Genomic DNA, 16,892 nt, shown 5'->3' with positions numbered 1-16,892 from the left:
TAGAGACGTGGTTTCACCATGTTAGCCAGGATGGTCTCGAACTCCTGACCTCGTGATCCACCTGCCTCGGCCTCCCAAAGTGTTGGGATTACGGGCGTGAGCCACCGTACCAGGCCCATGGCACCTCTCTTAATTTATAAATTGAACTGGATGTGAAGTAATAACGTCAGCTAGTTGAGATAAGAGGGTTACAGTTAGGCTGGGCGCAGTGGCTCACACCTGTAATCCTAGCACTTTGGGAGGCCTAGGCGGACTGATCACCAGGTCAGGAGATTGAGACCATCCTGGCTAACATCATGAAACCCCATCTCTACTAAAAAATACAAAAAATTAGCTGGGAATGGCCGGGCGTGGTGGCTCACACCTGTAATCCCAGCACTTTGGGAGGCCGAGGCAGGCGGATCATGAGGTCAGGAGATCAAGACCATCCTGGCTAACATGGTGAAACCCCATCTCTGCTAAAAATACAAAAAAAAAAAAAATTAGCCAGGTGTGGTGGCGGGCACCTGTAGTCCCAGCTACTCGGGAGGCTGAGGCAGGAGAATGGCGTGAACCCAGGAGGCGGAGCTTGCAATGAGCTGAGATTGCACCACTGCACTCCAGCCTGGGCGACCAAGCGAGACTCCATCTCAAAAAAAAAAATTAGCTGGGCGTGGTGGCGGGCACCTGTAGTCCCAGCTACTTGGGAGGCTGAGGCAGGATAATGGCATGAACTCAGGAGGCAAAGCTTGCAGTGAGCAGAGATTGTGCCACTGCACTCTGGCCTGGGCAACAGAGCAAGACTCGGTCTCAAAAAAAAGAAAAAGAGGGTTACAGATCATTGCACATGGAAAATATTCCCAGCAGTAACCACTTCCATTAATGTGATCTACAGCTTTTAAAAAGGAGCATCTCAGAATAAGATGGTGGTACAATTTGCTTATTGAGAAAGGAAAAAAAAAAACACATGAGTATATTACAAAGGGAAAAGAAGGAATGTGATTTCTCATGATTGAAAGCTTGATTTAGATTGCATACAGCTTTTGCTACCCAAGACCAAGAGGCTCTGGCAAGACGGTGGTTTTCCGAATGCCAGACTGAGGTGCCTTATGAAGGCAGCTGCCGATGGTTCCAGATGTAGAGAGATAGGTGATGCAGGAGGGAAAGCTGGATTGGAAAAGGGAGAGTTTTGTAGACGGGCTACGCTCATTGTGCCTTTGAAAGAGCAGAGCCGGCAGCCTCTAGTCATCATTTGGATATACAGGACTAGAGCATGAATCTGATGTAGAGCTACAGAATGAAGAGCAACAGCAGCTGTTTAAATACCAAGAAAGTGTGTAGAATGAAATTGGACAAGCCAAGCATGGTGGTTTCATGCCTTTAGTCCTAGCTACTTCGGAGGCTGAGGTGGGGGAATTACTTGAGCTCAGCAGTTTGAGTTCAGCCTGGGCCAGATGGTGAGACCCTGTATCTTAAGAAAAGAAAAAATAAGACCAGGTGCAGTATCTCATGCCTGTAATCCCAGCACTTTGGGAGGCCAAGTTGAGATGACTGCTCGAGTGTAGGACTTCAAGACCAGACTGGGCAATAAAGTGAGACCCATTTCTACCAAAAAAAAAATCAAGAAATTAGCTGGACATGGTGGCACATGCCTGTGGCCTCAGTTACATGGCATGGCAGGCTGAGGCAGGAAGATCACTTGAGCCCAGGAGGTGGAGGCTGCAGTGACCCATATTCATGCCACTGCACTCCAGCCTGGGCAACAGAGTGAGACCCTCTCTCAAAAACAGATAAAGTGGACAGAAAATAGGTCAGTAAGGACTAATCATTTAAGGGACAAGCCCCCAGAAGAGTGGCTACTAGAGTGGGAGGAGGAAAAGCAGAAGGAGAAAGAGTTGAAGATAGGCGAGGCTGTGGTCCCAGTGCTGAATTCTGCCAAGCAGTGACTTGATTCATGAACACTCACTGGATGCTGACTCTGTTTCTCTTCTGAGTGCTGGGGTAGAGGAGAGGAGAGGTGGAGCACAGTTCTTGCTTTTATGAGCTTATGTTCTAGGAAGTTCAAGTATTTTTTCAGGTAGTATGAAATAGCAGGAAGAGGAAGCAGGCTAAAGGGACACAGAGTGATTGGGGGCTATTTTAAGTAGAATGATAAGGAAGAGCCTGTCTAGAGAGCTATTTGAACAGTGACCTGACTGAAGGGACAACAGAAAGCAGTGCTGACATTACAGGTAGCAGGATGACTGCCAAGACAGAAACGCATTTCATATGTGTTCGAGGAACAAACAGCAAGGTGACCAGCATGGGGAGAGTGAAGAATGAGGGAAACCTTGAATGAGAATAAAGCAATTCCATCTTGGATGCTAATCTGCCATATTCTGATTAATCCCAGTTCCAAGACTTCATCTATGATTTCTATTTTATCTTTTTAAAAAATATATTTTTTATTTTTTGAGACCGAGTCTCACTCTGTCTCCCAGGTTGGACTGCAGTGGCACAATCTCAGCTCACTGCAAACTTCACCTCCTGGGCTCAAGCGATTCTCCTGCCTCAGCTTCCCGAGTAACTGGGATTACAGGCGCCTGCCACCACGCCTGGCTAATTTTTGTATTTTTAGTAGAGACGAGGTTTTACCGTGTTGGCCAGGCTGGTCTGGAACTCCTGACCTCAGGTGATCCGCCCACCTTGGCCTCCCAAAGAGCTGGGATTGCAGGCGTGAGCCACCGTGTCTGGCCATACACATCCCTGCTGAAGCCCGCATTACCCTTCCCCTATGCTATAGAAGCCCTGGGTCGGGGGGGTGGGGGTGATGGCACAGGGATCCACCATCTTATCTTGGTGCCATCCCTGACTTGCCTTCTGTTCATAAACGCCTATTAAATGTTTCTTTCTGAGAAACTGGATTTGTCAGCCTCTTTCTTTGGTATCTCAGGTTCCTTGGCCTTTGCGGGTAGGTTTATATAGACCTGCTCAGCACAGGACAGGCAGTTTCTCAAAAAATTGAAAATAGAATTACCAAATGATCCGGCAATATCACTTCTGGGTATATAGCCAAAATAATTGAAAGCAAGGTCTCATAGAAATATTTGTACACTGATATTTATAGCAGTGGTATTCACACTCGTCAAAAGATGGATGCAGCCGAATTGTCCATAGGCAGATGAATTGATAAAATGTGGTATATACATACAATAAAATATTCTTCAGCCTTAAAAAGGAAGGAAATTCTAACACATGCTACAACATGGATGAACATTGAGGACATTATGCTAAGTGAAATAAGCCAGTTAGAAAAAGACAAATACTGTGTTCCTTCACTTATGTGAAGCGTCCAGACTGAGTAAGCAAACTAATAGAAACAGAAGGTAGAACGGGGGTTGCCAGGGACATGGGGAAGGGAGAAAATGGGAAGTTGCTTAGTGGATATAGAGTTTTGGTTTTGTCAGATGAGAAAGTTCCGGAGATTGGTTGCATGGCAATGTGAATATACTCTACATTACCCAACCCAAGGGCTCTCCTTGACCCCTGTTCCAACTGCCACTTAGAAGTGGTTAAGGTAGTAAATTTTATGTATATTTTACCACAATTCAAAATAGAATTATTATTTTTTTATTATAATTTTTTGAGATCCCTCACTCTGCTGCCCAGGCTGGAGTGCAATGGCGCCGTCTCAGCTCACTGCAACCTCTGCCTTCTGGGTTCAAGTGATTCTCCTGCCTCAGCCTCCCAAGTAGCTGGAACTTACAGGCACATGCCACCATGCCCAACTAATTTTTGTATGTTTAGTAGAGACGGGGTTTCACCATGTTCGCCAGGCTGGTCTTGAACTCCTGACTTCAGGTGATCCGCCTGCCTTGGCCTCCCAAAGTGCTGGGATTACAGGTGTGAGCCACCATGCCCGGCTGTCAAAATAGGTGTTTTGTTGTTTTTTTTTTTTTTTGAGATGGAGGTTTGCTTTTGTTGGCCAGGCTGGAGTGCAATGGCAGGATCTCGGCTCACAGCAACCTCCACCTCCCGTGTTCAAGCAATTCTACTGCCTCAGCCTCCTGAGTAGCTGGGATTACAGGCATGCACCACCATGCCCAGCTAATTTTGTATTTTATTTTAGTATAGATGGGGTTTCTCCATGTTGGTCAGGCTGGTCTCCAACTCCTGACCTCAGGTGATCCACCCACCTTGGCCTCCCAAAGTGCTGGGATTACAGGTGTGAGCCATTGCGCCTGGCCTTTTTTTTTTTTTTTTTTTTTTTTTTTTTTTTTTTTTGTGATGGACTTTTGCTCTTGTTATCCAGGCTGGAGTGCAATGGCACGATCTCAGCTCACTGCAGCCTCTCCTCCCGGGTTCAAGCAATTCTCTTTCCTCAGCCTCCTGAGTAGCTGGGATTACAGGCATGCACCACCATGCCTGGCTAATTTTGTATTTTTAGTAGGTATGGGGTTTCTCCATGTTGATCAAGCTGGTTTTGAACTCCTGACCTCAGGTGATCCACCCACCTCGGCTTCCCAAAGTGCTAGGATTACAGGCGTGAGCCACTGTGCCTGGCCTGAAAAAAAATTTTAAAGTTTGAGAAAATACAAAATTTTCATAGTCTCCAAGTATTTCTCCTAAGATCTTTCCCCCTATGAGGGGGAAAGATAGTAACTTTACAATGGAGAAACCCAGCAGAAACCTGAACCAAATGAACAAGTTCAACATCATCAGTAAGAAGAACTATCAATGCCATAACTCTGATGGAATGCACTGGGAAGGATTCCACATCATTTTTGTGCTGTAATTGCCAAAAGTTCGTAACTTCAGTCCAATCATGGAAATACATCAGACAATCCCAAATCGAGGAACATTTCACAAATACTGATCAGTACTGGTTCAAGATGTCACGGTTATGAAAGATAAGGAAAGATTGAGGAACTGTTATTGCAGTCCTACAAAATGGCGAGAGACTAAGAAATAACTAAATGCAGCGTGATCCTGGGTGGAATTTGGGAACAGAAAAAGGACATTAGTGGAAAAAGTGGTGAAACTCCAATAAGGTCTTTTGTTTAGCGAATATGTTCATTTTAAATCAGTTAAATTATTTAAATATATTTAAACATTAGTTAAATGTATTTAATTAAATTAATAAAATTGGTTATTTTGTGAAATAATTTTAATATAGTTAAATATGAGAATGTGGATTTCCTGGTTCTGATCACCGTACTGTGGCTATCTAAGAGGTGCATGTTCAGGGAGGCTGGGGGAGGAATAAATGGACATTATACTATTAAGTTGGAAGAGAGAAACCTACCCCATCAGTCACAAAACCCTCACATTCATGGCAGTGTGTTGGACGTTCCAGTATGAATGGCATTTCCCAGATGTCAGCGCGAGGTCCCTGTGGAGGGAGTGGGGCTCCCTGGGAATCTAGTGGAGAGCATTCGGGGCTCCCTTCCTCAGGAGCCTGACCTTCCTGCACAGAAGCGTCAGCCTCACCTCTGTACCACTGCCCCTCTGCCTCTCAGAACCCACTCGCCTTCAGGAAGATTCTACTGCCAGCCTCCTTTCCCAGATACAGCCTCCAGGGACTCAGCCCTGCCTTCCCAAGTGTTCCCGCCTCTCTTGGGAAGGGGTGCTCTCAGATCCCACACCCCTGGACTTCCCCGGGCACCACCTGCTCCTTCTTCACTTCTCCAGCTCTGCGTTCTCACTCTGAGGGTCCTCTCCTGCTGGGAATGTGTGTTGCTGGCAATAGTGAAGATTCCCCCCTGGGTTGCCCCCCATGCCCTGTTCTTCTGCACTTCCCTGGCTTCCTGCGTTGGTTCTGCTGGTGTCTCCTGCTTTTGGGTTTACGTGGCTTCCCAGCTTCCTAATTTCTCTGAAGTTGAGTTTGATGTGTGTATTGATGATGGGCTTTTTCCTCCTCCTCCTCCTCCTCCTCCTCCTCTTCCTCCTCAGTCTTGTTGTTGCCCCATATAGTTTCCAGAAGGAGAAAAGGGACACTGTAAAATTAAGCTGCTGCAGGCTGGGCACAGTGGCTCATGCCTGTAATCCCAGCCCTTTGGGAGGCCGAGGCAGGTGGATCACCTGAGGTCAGGAGTTCAAGACCAGCCTGTTCAACATGGTGAAACCTCATCTGTACCAAAAATACAAAAATTAGCAAGGCATGGTGGCATGTGCCGGTAATCCCAGCTACTCGGGAGGCTGAGGCAGGAGGATCTCTTGAACGTGGGAGGCAGAAGTTGCAGTGAGCCGAGATCATGCTACTGCACTTCAGCCTGGGTAACAAGAGCAAAACTCCATCTCAAAATAATAATAAATAATAATAATAATAATAATAATGCCATGTTTCTATCAGACCCAGAAATCCCGCAGAGTGAGCTGGAATTCTCTGTTTCTCTGTTTCCCCTCCATACCCACTGGCTCCTCTCTGCCCACTCCCTCTTGGACTGCATCACCAGGGTGCCTCACTGTCTGGCCCTAGTGGAATTCACACAGTGGAGGACGTCATAGGAGGTGGGAGAGAGAGAGAGAGGAGAGGTGGTTATTCGCTCAGATTCTTCCTTGCTGGTTTGGCAGTGGCCACATCTTTCTACTGATGGCTGCAGCTCCTGATGATCCTCCTCTACAGCCACAGCTCTCTTTGGGATCTGTGGACACCTTTCCTGTCCCTTTAGACCCAGGGAGATAACAGCTCCCACTCTTGCTGGTCCAGGACATTCCTCATCTCTTATTGGTTCCCTTAACTCGGTCCACACTTCTGTGAACAGCCCCTTTCCTCAAATACCCATTCGAATATGTCCTCTGGCTTCCACCAGGAGCCTGACTGATACCCACAGGTGGGTGAATGCTGGCGTGCTGCTGGGCCCCTCTTCCTCTGGTGACTGGCCAGCCAAGTCTCCAGGAGTCTCGTTAGGGTGGGCAGGCGGTGGGCACAGCACAAACTGTGAGCTCAAATCCACAGAACAAAAGTGGGAGAAGACACTGGCAGGATGGACCGCCACAAAACTCTTGGCATTCGTGACGTCTGTCCTTTAAATCACGCAAGGCATCATCATGCTTCAGACATGAGACAGCCTAAGTATTTAAGTGTTTCAAATAAACAAATTGTTTTTCAGAATTGGTAATTGCTAAGTTGGCAAATTGCTATTGGAAACGTTGGCTGTCCTTGACTCAATGATTCAGCCAGCTAGTCCCTTGCCAAACTAGTATGTTGGGCAAATTCCACCTTGAGAATTTATCTGCTCCTGTCAAAGCCAGATTCTCCCTGCCTGAGGGGAGGCTGGACTTGACCTTCTGACTCAGGATATGCTGACTTGGGTCCCTAGGTCCAAGGGCGGCCCTCTTGGGCCCACTGTGGGCTGGACCTCTTCCATGATGGGGTGGTGGAGGGCAGGCCCCACCTGATTCACACTTGACCTCATCCAGGCAGGTGAAGTTCCCTGCAGGAGTCACCTGAGCCCAGCCCCTCAGACCAGGATCCATCATGTTTAGGAGGATTTGGGGCTATCTCATGTTCTTTGGCTAGAAAGGGGTCCCACTCTTAGGGGTCTGCCCTCTGTGGGGCACAGATGGCTTGCTGGGGCCCATGGACGGGGCTGGGTGAATGGGAATCTGGTCACAGCAGCAGCAGCTGGAAGGCCAAGAGGGAGGGCACCAGGGCCTGGGACCCATGTCTTGTCCTGGGCCTCCCCGGGCCTCTTGCCTTCTCCCCAGCAGGCATTTGGGATCTGTGTCTGGACCCAGCCTCGCCCAGAAGGCCATGGTGTGTTGTCATTAGAATCACAGTGCTCACACCAAGGCAGTGCATTAAATTAGCAGGGCAGGGTCTCATGGGCAAGGGACCATGTGGAGGGGGTGGGGGGAAGGGCAGTTGTCCCCAGAGGCCGTGGTGGGCCTGGCTCTGGGCTGGGCAGTGGGCCAGGGTCCTGCTGTGTGGATGAGCTCTGACAACAGGCTGTCTGGGTCTGGTGAGCTCCTGAAAGCGCGGACTGGTGGAGAGTACCCTAGGGTGGGAGCTCATGAGGAGGGGGTCTGTGGGGTCTGGAAGCCATTCTAGAGCAGGCAGATGACATTTATCAGGGGAGCAGGCATAGAAAGGACCCTTGTGCGAGTGGGGGGACACACAGCCTCAGAAGAAACAGGGAAGGGGCTTTGACAGGTCCAGGGAGAATCCCTGAGGTTTCCTAGAACAATTCCCACCAGCCATGTCCCAGGTGTCCCCCCATCCCCCAGGCCTCTGCAGTGCCAGCCCAATGCCCTGGGCAAAGCATCCTGGACTCTGGCTGTTACAAAAGGAGGACAGGGTCATCTGGACCCGCCTGAGCTCCAGGCCCCCGACTTTCACAGCCCCTTCTGGGTCCAGAAGTTCATACGTATATAAATGAAAAATGTGCAAGAATCATATTATTGTATTCTTTTTCATAAAGAGGCCCCTCTAAATTGTTGAAGCCCCGATCCACCCCTGCCCAAAGGAGACAGCAATGGCATGTGTGGGGCCACAGTCTTGAGACCCAGAGGTCCTGCTGCCCACGATACCCACTGTCCACCCTAGGGGGACTGGCCGTAGCCCTGGAGCCCGCAAACACCATGCAGGAATGCAAGAAGGTCTCAGCTCCCGAGTCCCAGGCTGGGAGGGCCCACAGTCCAGTAAACTAATCAGGCCCCGACACATCCAGGAGAGCAGCTCCAGGAGCCTGCATTGGGGAGAGAGCCTCAGACCCCTGCCACAGGCCTGCACCCCAGAAGTAGGAGCATGGGAAGACCTCTCCTTGGCTCCTGGCCAGCAGAAGTCACATTCCCCAGCCCTCTGGCTCCAAGGCAGCCTCACGTCCCAGTCACTCCTTGGCACACCCTACCAGTTGGTCAGAGCTCACTGCCAAAGGGCACCTCAATGATGAGTGGAGGGAACAGGTGTTTACCAGGAGCTTGCATGCTTTGTCTCAGGGATGATTAGGGACACAGCCAAGAAGACACGCTATGCCCATTTTACAGATGAGGAAACGGAGGCTCAGGTTGGGCTGGTGACTAAGGGAAGCAGCATGTGGCAGGTGGCTTGAGGCATGTCTGTCCATCATGAGTAACTAGGGAGCAGCCCTGCCACTCCTCATGCGATGCACCAGGAGCCAGGGAAGCTGCTTCCTAGGGGATTCTAGCTAAGGCCAGAAGCATCTCCCTGAGTGGTGGTGGAGGCCTCTGTCTACTCCTCCAGGACTGCCAGGGGATAGGAGGGCACTGCTGACCTCACAGAGCCTCTTGGGTGAGTGAGCATCAGCTGAGTGACACCAGGTGACTACGCTTCTGCCCAGTGCTGTGCCCCCCTCTGACTCGGGCAAGGCACCACCCTGAACGCCCCACCCTGTCCCATGGAGGCCGCAAACTGCTCTGCAGAGCCAGGGTCTCCAGGAATGGGGAGGGCAGTCACCCTCATTCCACTTGTGTTCATGACCCAAAGGACTGCCCAGGTCTCCAGGCCCATAGAACCCCCAAACCTCTTACTAGGCCACACTGGGGACCTTGAGCAGCAGGCTTGGAATCCTAGGCCTTGTCTCCAGGTACATATCAGTACCCAGGCTTGGGAAGCTTTGGTCTCAGGGGGGCTGGCACTCAGGCCCTCTGCCTCAAGGAAGAAGCATGTCCAGATCTCTACTGTCCAGCCCTGCTCCCTGCCCCTATCCTTCACGGGGTCCCTAGGACAGGGTTACAGAAGCCTCATGCTGTCAGGGGATGCTGCCACCCTAGTTCCAGGGTGGCTCCGCCCAGCCCCTTCCTGCTGCCGCCCTCACTGACTCACCTGTCCAGCCTCCTACTGGGCTGGGGTGAGGGCTTATTGCCCCAGAGCCTAGACAGACACCAGAGGCAGCTATAAAAGCATGTTGGGCCAGTCCTCAGCATCCTAGTTCGCCACTGTCTGCTGCCACACGATGCTGGGAGGCCTGGGGAAGCTGGCTGCCGAGGGCCTGGCCCACCGCACCGAGAAGGCCACCGAGGGAGCCAGTGAGGACCCGGGGCTCCTTTCTACCTGGGCTGGGGGGATCTGGGGCAGACTGGGTCTGTGGGAGGCGGATCTACGTAGGCAGGCGAGGACCTGCGGGGAGGCCTTGGCCCCTCAGGAACCCTGGTCTCCTGCTCTACCAAGTCAGCACGGAGTTGAGGGGTGCAGACCTGGGGAGGTCTCCTGGGGGCAGGGCATGAGTCCTGGTGCTGGGTGAACACTGGCAGCTTGGACCCTTCCCTCTGGAAATCTGGGGAGCCTTTCTTGTCAAAACAGCCTATTCTGAATAACCTATGCAGGAAAAGGAAGATGGATTTTTATTTTTACCATAACTTTAAAGCTTCAAAGATTTCTTAACAAGTCACCAAGTCTGTTCAAAGTCAAAAAGGGCATTTTCAATTTCATCCAAGTCCCCTAAAGCATGTTTATTTTTATTTGTATTTGTATTTGAAATGGAGTCTTGCTCTGGCACCCAGGCTGGAGTGTAGTGGTGCGATCTCGGCTCACTGTAACCTTTGCCTCCTGGGTTCAAAGTGATTCTCATGCCTCAGCCTCCTGAGTAGCTGGGATTACAGGCACCCACCACCACGCCCGACTAATTTTTGTATTTTTAGCAGAGACGGGGTTTCGCCATTTTGGCCAGGCTGGTCTCAAACTCCTGCCCTCAAGTGATCCATTCCTCTTGGCCTCCCAAAGTGCTGGGATTACAGGCGTGAACCACTGCACCTGGTCCCGAAGTGTATGTTGTATTCAGAGGTCAGCAGGTATGTGTGGGGAGGCCCAGCCAGGCCCCACTCATGGGTCATCGTGTGAAAAAGTCTTGCCTGAGTTTGTGTCCTCTTTCTAAATGGCAGCAGATGCGTATTTTGTTTTTGACTCTGCAGCTGGTGTGGACCACCTGCTTTAACCTTTCACTAGCCTCTGAGTTTTCTATGATTCCTGTTGGGAGAAAAGCTGAGTGTTGGGAGAAAAGCTGAGGCAGGGCTTGCTAGACTTGCTGGCTCCTTGCTTCTAGCACTGCCATTCTCTCAAGTAGCCATATGTTTCTCATTCACTTGATACACTGTTGCCTTTCAACCTCCACATCCTCACCACCTGTTTCTTTGTTAGATCACCAATAAATAGCGTGGGCTCCCAGAACTCGGGGCCTTCGCAGCCTCCACACTCGCGATAGCGCCCTGCTCCCATTTTCTCTCTCGAACTGTCTCTTTCTCATTCCTTTGACTCCGCTGGACTTGCCGCCCCCGTGACCTGGTGTTGGGTCTCATCATCCCAACAGATTCCCATTCTAAAGATGAGGGAACCAAGAGGTGGAAGGTAGAGTTAGAATAAGAACCATTTCTTCTGACTCTGAAATCCTTCAGTTCTAGCACACTACCACCCACACTTTAAAAAACTCTGAAGTAGGCAGAGAATTCCGTTTTGTTGGAGGAATTGCTTTGAGAGACCTGGTCTTAGTGGATGAGGCTTTGGAAACCAACCTGAGGCAGGCGCTAGCACATCCTGAGAGGGGTGTGACCTGGCACACAGGCCCAGCCTGGGTTTCATGTCTCAGCTGGCAAGACTGCCTGCTCATTGCCATTCCAGGCCGGGCAGGGCCAAGGGGCTTCAGGGACCCATGCCCTCATGGGGCTCACTGAGCTCGTCTCCCGGTAGCCAAGGCCCTGGCGTCTCCAAATGAAGCCAGCTGTGGGGGAAGGTCCTTCTCATGAGCCAGTCTGTCCTGGCTGGGGGTGGCATCCCAGAGCCCCATCTAGGATGCCCAGGGATGTATAGGTCTGTTGTGAGGATAAGCCAGCCCTGAGCCCTCACCCTGGACTGGGAGGGCAGTGGGCCTGCTCTGAGCCCTCACCCTGGACTGGGAGGGCAGCGGCTCTGCTCTGAACCCTCACCCTGGACTCAGGGGCAGCCGGCCTGCTCTGAGCCCTCACCCTGGACTTGTCTCCTCTGTTCAGTTCATGCCGTGGAGGAAGTGGTGAAGGAGGTGGTGGGACATGCCAAGGAGACTGGAGAGAAAGGTACAGCCGGCTGAGGTCGGGCAGGGAAGGAGGGAGGGAGGAAGGGAAGCTAGGTGCTGGGCCAACCTGTTCTTTGACTAACCAGGTCAAACTCTGCCCCTAATGTTGCAGCCTTTCAGAGCCTCTTGGCTGGGGCAGTTATCTATGCTCATCAGAGGCCACAGACCGTACTGCGTTAGGACACTGTCTAGATGGTTCTCTCTGTGGAATAAGAAGACAAAGTCACACAAGACTATGTGACAGCACACTGGGACAAAACATTTAACATGGCAGGGCACGGTGGCTCATGCCTGTAATCCCAGCACTTTGGGAGGCTGAGGAGGGCGGATCACGAGGTCAGGAGATCGAGACCATCCTGGCTAACACGGTGAAACCCCGTCTCTACTAAAAATACATAAAAATTAGCCGGGCATGGTGGTGGGTGCCTATAGTCCCAGCTACTTGGGAGGCTGAGGCAGGAGAATGGTGTGTACCTGGGAGGCAGAGCTTGCAGTGAGCCTAGATCATGCCACTGCACTCCAGCCTGGGCTACAGAGCGAAACTCGGTCTCAAAAAAATTGCTGGGGGCGGTGGCTCACGCCTGTAATCCCAGCACTTTGGGAGGCTGAGGTGGGCGGATCATGAGGTCAGGAGATCCAGACCACGGTGAAACCCCATCTCTACTAAAAATACAAAAAATTAGCTGGGCACGGTGGCGGGCACCTGTAGTCCTAGCTACTCGGGAGGCTGAGGCAGGAGAATGGCGTGAACCTGGAAGGTGGAGCTTGCAGTGAGCCGAGATCGCGCCACTGCACTCCAGCCTGGGCGACACTGTGATACTCTGTCTCAAAAAAAAAAAAAAAAAAAAAAAAAAAAATTAACATGTAAAATTCTATGTTAAATGTTAAATTGATGTGTGTGAGCTATGAGTAGTACTATGTACAAAGCATGTGTATATCTCATTCCTTTTCAACAAAATAGATTCCAGGTAGATGAAGGACTTACATTTACATAAATGAATTTATTAACTTACTAGGAGATAACCATCTTAGCTCAGGCTGCTATTATAAAATACCATAGGCCAGGTGCAGTGGCTCACGCCTGTAATCCTAGCCCTTCGGGAAGCCAAGGCGGGTGGGCCACCTGAGGTCAGGAGTTCGAGACCAGCCTGACCAATATGGTAAAACCCCATTGCTACTAAAAATACAAAGACCAGCTGGGCATGGTGGCACATGCCTGTAATCCCAGCTACTCAGGAGTCTGAGGCAGGAGACTCCCTTGAACCTGGGAGGCGGAGGTTGCAGTGAGCTGAGATTGCACCACTGCACTCCAGCCTGGGTGACAGAGCAAGACTCTGTCTCAAAAACAAAAACAAACCATAAACTGGGTGACTTAGAAACAACAGAAATTTATTTCTCACACTCCTGGAGGATGGGAAGTCCAAGATCAAGGAAGGCACTGGCACATTTGGCATCTGGTGAGGGAGTCTTTCTGGTTCATGGATGGGCCCAGCTCTGTCCTCACATGGTGGAAGGAGCTAGCTCTCTGTGGTCTCTTTTATGTGGGTGCTAATTTCAACCTCCCAAAGGCCCCACCCCTTAATATCATTACATTAAGACTGAGGATTTCAGCATATGAGTTTTGAGGGGGAAGACATCATAAACATTTAGACATAGTAATAACTTCAGAGACTTTGGCCTAATCTTGGAGAGGGGAGAATCTTCAGAACTATGACAAAAAAATCAGCGCCATAAAGGAAATATTAAGTAAATTTGACAATCCAAAACTGAAATTTTCTATAGCCAAAAAAAAAAAAACACTATAACCAAGCCAAAAGAAAAATTATACACTGATGAAAAATATTTGTCATAAAAATGATAATCCAATATAACAACCCAATATAAAAATGGTCAAAAGACATAAGCAGGCATTTTCCAGAAAAAAGGATAAGCAGGCAATGTACCCATGAGTAGATGCTCAGTCTCACTCACAGTTGAAGAAATGCAAGTTGTTGGGGAAATTAAAACCAAATTCAAATTCATTCTGCAGTAATCCTGCTGCCCTTGGTCCCATCGGGCCACTCCAGAGACTAATCCATTAAGATGGCCACATCCCACAGGCCACTCAAGGGGACACAAGTTCAGCAGGTGGATCACTAGGACATTCTTCCTCTTTCTTTCCAACAGCCATTGCTGAAGCCATAAAGAAAGCCCAGGAGTCAGGGGACAAAAAGATGAAGGAAATCACCGAGACAGTGACCAACACAGTCACAAATGCCATCACCCATGCAGCAGAAAGTCTGGACAAACTTGGACAGTGAGTGCACCTGCTACCACGGCCCTTCCCCAGTCTCAATAAAAAGCCATGACATGTGTACATTGAGCGCTGGATTTATTCCCATTTGGATGGAAACACTAGGCAAAGTATTTTCTTGTTGACATAACATATTTTACATATTTATGGAGTACATTTAAGTATTTATTACATGCACAGAATAGTGATCAATCAGGGTGTTTGGGGTGTCTATCACCTTGAATATTTGGTATTACTATGTGTTGGGTACATTTCAAGTCCCTTCTTCTAGCTACTTTGTTTGTTTGTTTTTGTTTTTGTTTTTGTTTTGAGACAGAGTCTTGCTCTGTCACCCAGGCTGGAGGGCAATGGTGTGATCTCGGCTCACTGCAACCTCTGCCTCCCAGGTTCAAGCAATTCTCCTGCCTCAGCCTCCCAAGTAGCTTGGACTACAAGCGCAGGCCACCATATCCGGCTAATTTTTATTATTATTTTTTTTATTGTTTTTATTTTTAGTAGAGATGGGGTTTCACCATGTTAGCCAGGCTGGTCTCGAACTCCTGACCTCAGGTGATCTGCCTGCCTGGGCCTCCCAAAATGCTGGGATTATAGGCATGGGATACTGTACCTAGCCTTCTAGCTACTTTGAAATATACAATACATTGCTGCTAACTATAGTCACCCTAGGTGAAGTATTTTTCAACAGAAACACTTTGCATGTCCCCCGTGTCTCCTCTGCTGAGGTGGACACTGGCACTGGGGCCCCTGCTGCTGGTTGGATAGGTCCTCATGATGAATCAGATACTTCTCTGTCATGCTAAGTAAGATCTTTCATGTCAGGAAGGGGCTCTTCTGGAAGAATAGTTAGTGTCTGTGCTACATTTCCTAAAAAACTGTTTCCCCAGAAACTATATACAACTTTCAGGTGCCTCAGTGCTTCAAGACATGCTAAGGGAGGACCCTCATTTGTCTTGCATGTTTTTGGGATTTTTCTTGAGATGTTCTTGCAGGACTCAGGGCAGATAACAGACCAGCTTGATGAAGAATTTAGCAAGGAAGGCCCCCACTGAGCTGCTTCCTGTTCTCGCAGAGATCAGATAAGCATTTCTGCTGGATGGTTACAGAATCTGGTCAAGGAGAGACTGAGTCACTGCTCATCATCCTAGAAGCTGCTGTTGATTTTTTTTTTTTTAAAGACGGAGTTTCACTCTGTTGCCCAGGCAGGAGTGCAGTAGCATGTTCTTGGCTCACTGTAACCTCTGCCTCCTGGGTTCAAACAATTCTCCTGCCTCAACCTCCCCAGTAGCTGGGACTACAGGTGCCCGCCACCACTCCTGGCTAATTTTTTGTATTTTTAGTAGAGATGGGGTTTCACCATGTTAGCCAAGATGGTCTCGATCTCCTGACCTCATGATCCACCTGTCTTGGCCTCCCAAAGTGCTGGGATTACAGGCGTGAGCCACCGCACCTGGCCCAGAATATTTATTTAGAGACTGATGTCAGGCCTAAGTGTTGATAGTGGGTAGTAGTGGGCAAGATGCCTGACCCTCTCTCTTTCTTCTCATGAGAGAGGGTGGAATGCCTTCCACCAAAGAAACGAGACCTCCCCATGACCAGCTGCTTCACTAACCAGACATCCTCCAGTGATGCCTCTGAATGGTCCCGAGGGGTTGTGGTGGCCGGGCAGAGCCAGGCAGGAGCCAGAGTCAGCCTGGGGGGTGATGGAGCTGAGGCCATCACCGGTCTGACAGTGGACCAGTATGGCATGCTGTATAAGGTGGCTGTGCCGCCTGCCACCTTCTCACCAACTGGCCTCCCATCTGTGGTGAATATGAGCCCCTTGCCCCCGGAAAAAAAAATAATATTGCATATGCAGTTGATTAAATGGCATATCATAGAGGTTAAAAGTCAGTATCATAGAGGTTAAACATATCTTTAAGTAGCATTTAACTTAACATTTTTTTAATTAAAAAAAAGAGAAGTAATTTGTAAAAATATTGCATCCCCTATTTCTCTTGCTGGAAGCTATTTGTTCCTAGCAGAAATGAGAAGAAAAGGTGTTTTGCTTAAAAATAAGTGAGTTGCTCACCGTACTTCTGGATCTCATCTAGAATTGGACTCACAGTTTGTGAACAGCCCAGGTATAGCCAATGTCTTAGCTTTGGAACGCTTGCCACTTTCCAGCTACAGCTGAACCTTATATCCTGGTTTGGTTCCTGATGACTTTCAAATTCTCCTGACCCAAACGCAAGCTCAGAAGCACAAGCACATTGTTGGTGGCAGTACAGACTGAAACACCCTCTTTGGATGGCAGTTCCTCTCACAGGACTTTATTCTCCAGGTATGCACAGGCACACACAGGTGCCCAAAGGATAAACACACAGATCTATTGTAGCATATTTGTATTACTGAAAGATTAGAAACATCCTAAAATGTTAACTAAATCGCTTGGATGAAAAGTTTTGCTCTGCTTATTAGGTTTGGCGTACAATATGGAGGTGACATCTGTTACTTCCAGTGTATTATAGATACTTTAGCTCCAAAAATGATACCTGTACCTAGATGGGCACCAAAAGGGAATGGTTAACAAATATTGCACATACAGGGGTATGGGGCGGCTCCGGGGCTGGGGATGGCGGCGGCCAGGTTTGTAGCGG

The 16,892-nt window shown here is 49.3% G+C and overlaps 1 protein-coding gene across 1 annotated transcript, besides 1 other annotated feature; it reads left to right on the top strand.

Annotated features, from left to right (window-relative positions):
- Window positions 1-9,849: 9,849 nt before the first annotated feature.
- FAM25C (family with sequence similarity 25 member C) lies at window positions 9,850-14,319 on the top strand. The gene is made up of 3 exons (NM_001137548.3): window positions 9,850-9,948; window positions 11,902-11,964; window positions 14,130-14,319. Exons 1-3 carry the CDS (start codon window positions 9,876-9,878, stop codon window positions 14,261-14,263), a joined length of 270 nt encoding a protein of 89 aa, NP_001131020.1. The 5' UTR covers window positions 9,850-9,875; the 3' UTR covers window positions 14,264-14,319.
- Window positions 14,733-15,260: an enhancer, noted in NCBI's record as "NANOG hESC enhancer chr10:49202415-49202942 (GRCh37/hg19 assembly coordinates)". NCBI's record gives its function as "activates a minimal SCP1, AML or CMV promoter by ChIP-STARR-seq in primed H9 embryonic stem cells {active_cell/tissue: H9 hESC(primed)}" and the evidence as "EXISTENCE:reporter gene assay evidence [ECO:0000049][PMID:30033119]".

This window comes from Homo sapiens, chromosome 10 (genome assembly GCF_000001405.40).
Source record: "Homo sapiens chromosome 10, GRCh38.p14 Primary Assembly".
NCBI lineage: Eukaryota > Metazoa > Chordata > Mammalia > Primates > Hominidae > Homo > Homo sapiens.
Note: the sequence above shows the minus strand (reverse complement) of the source record. Positions and strands in the feature narration are given on the sequence as shown.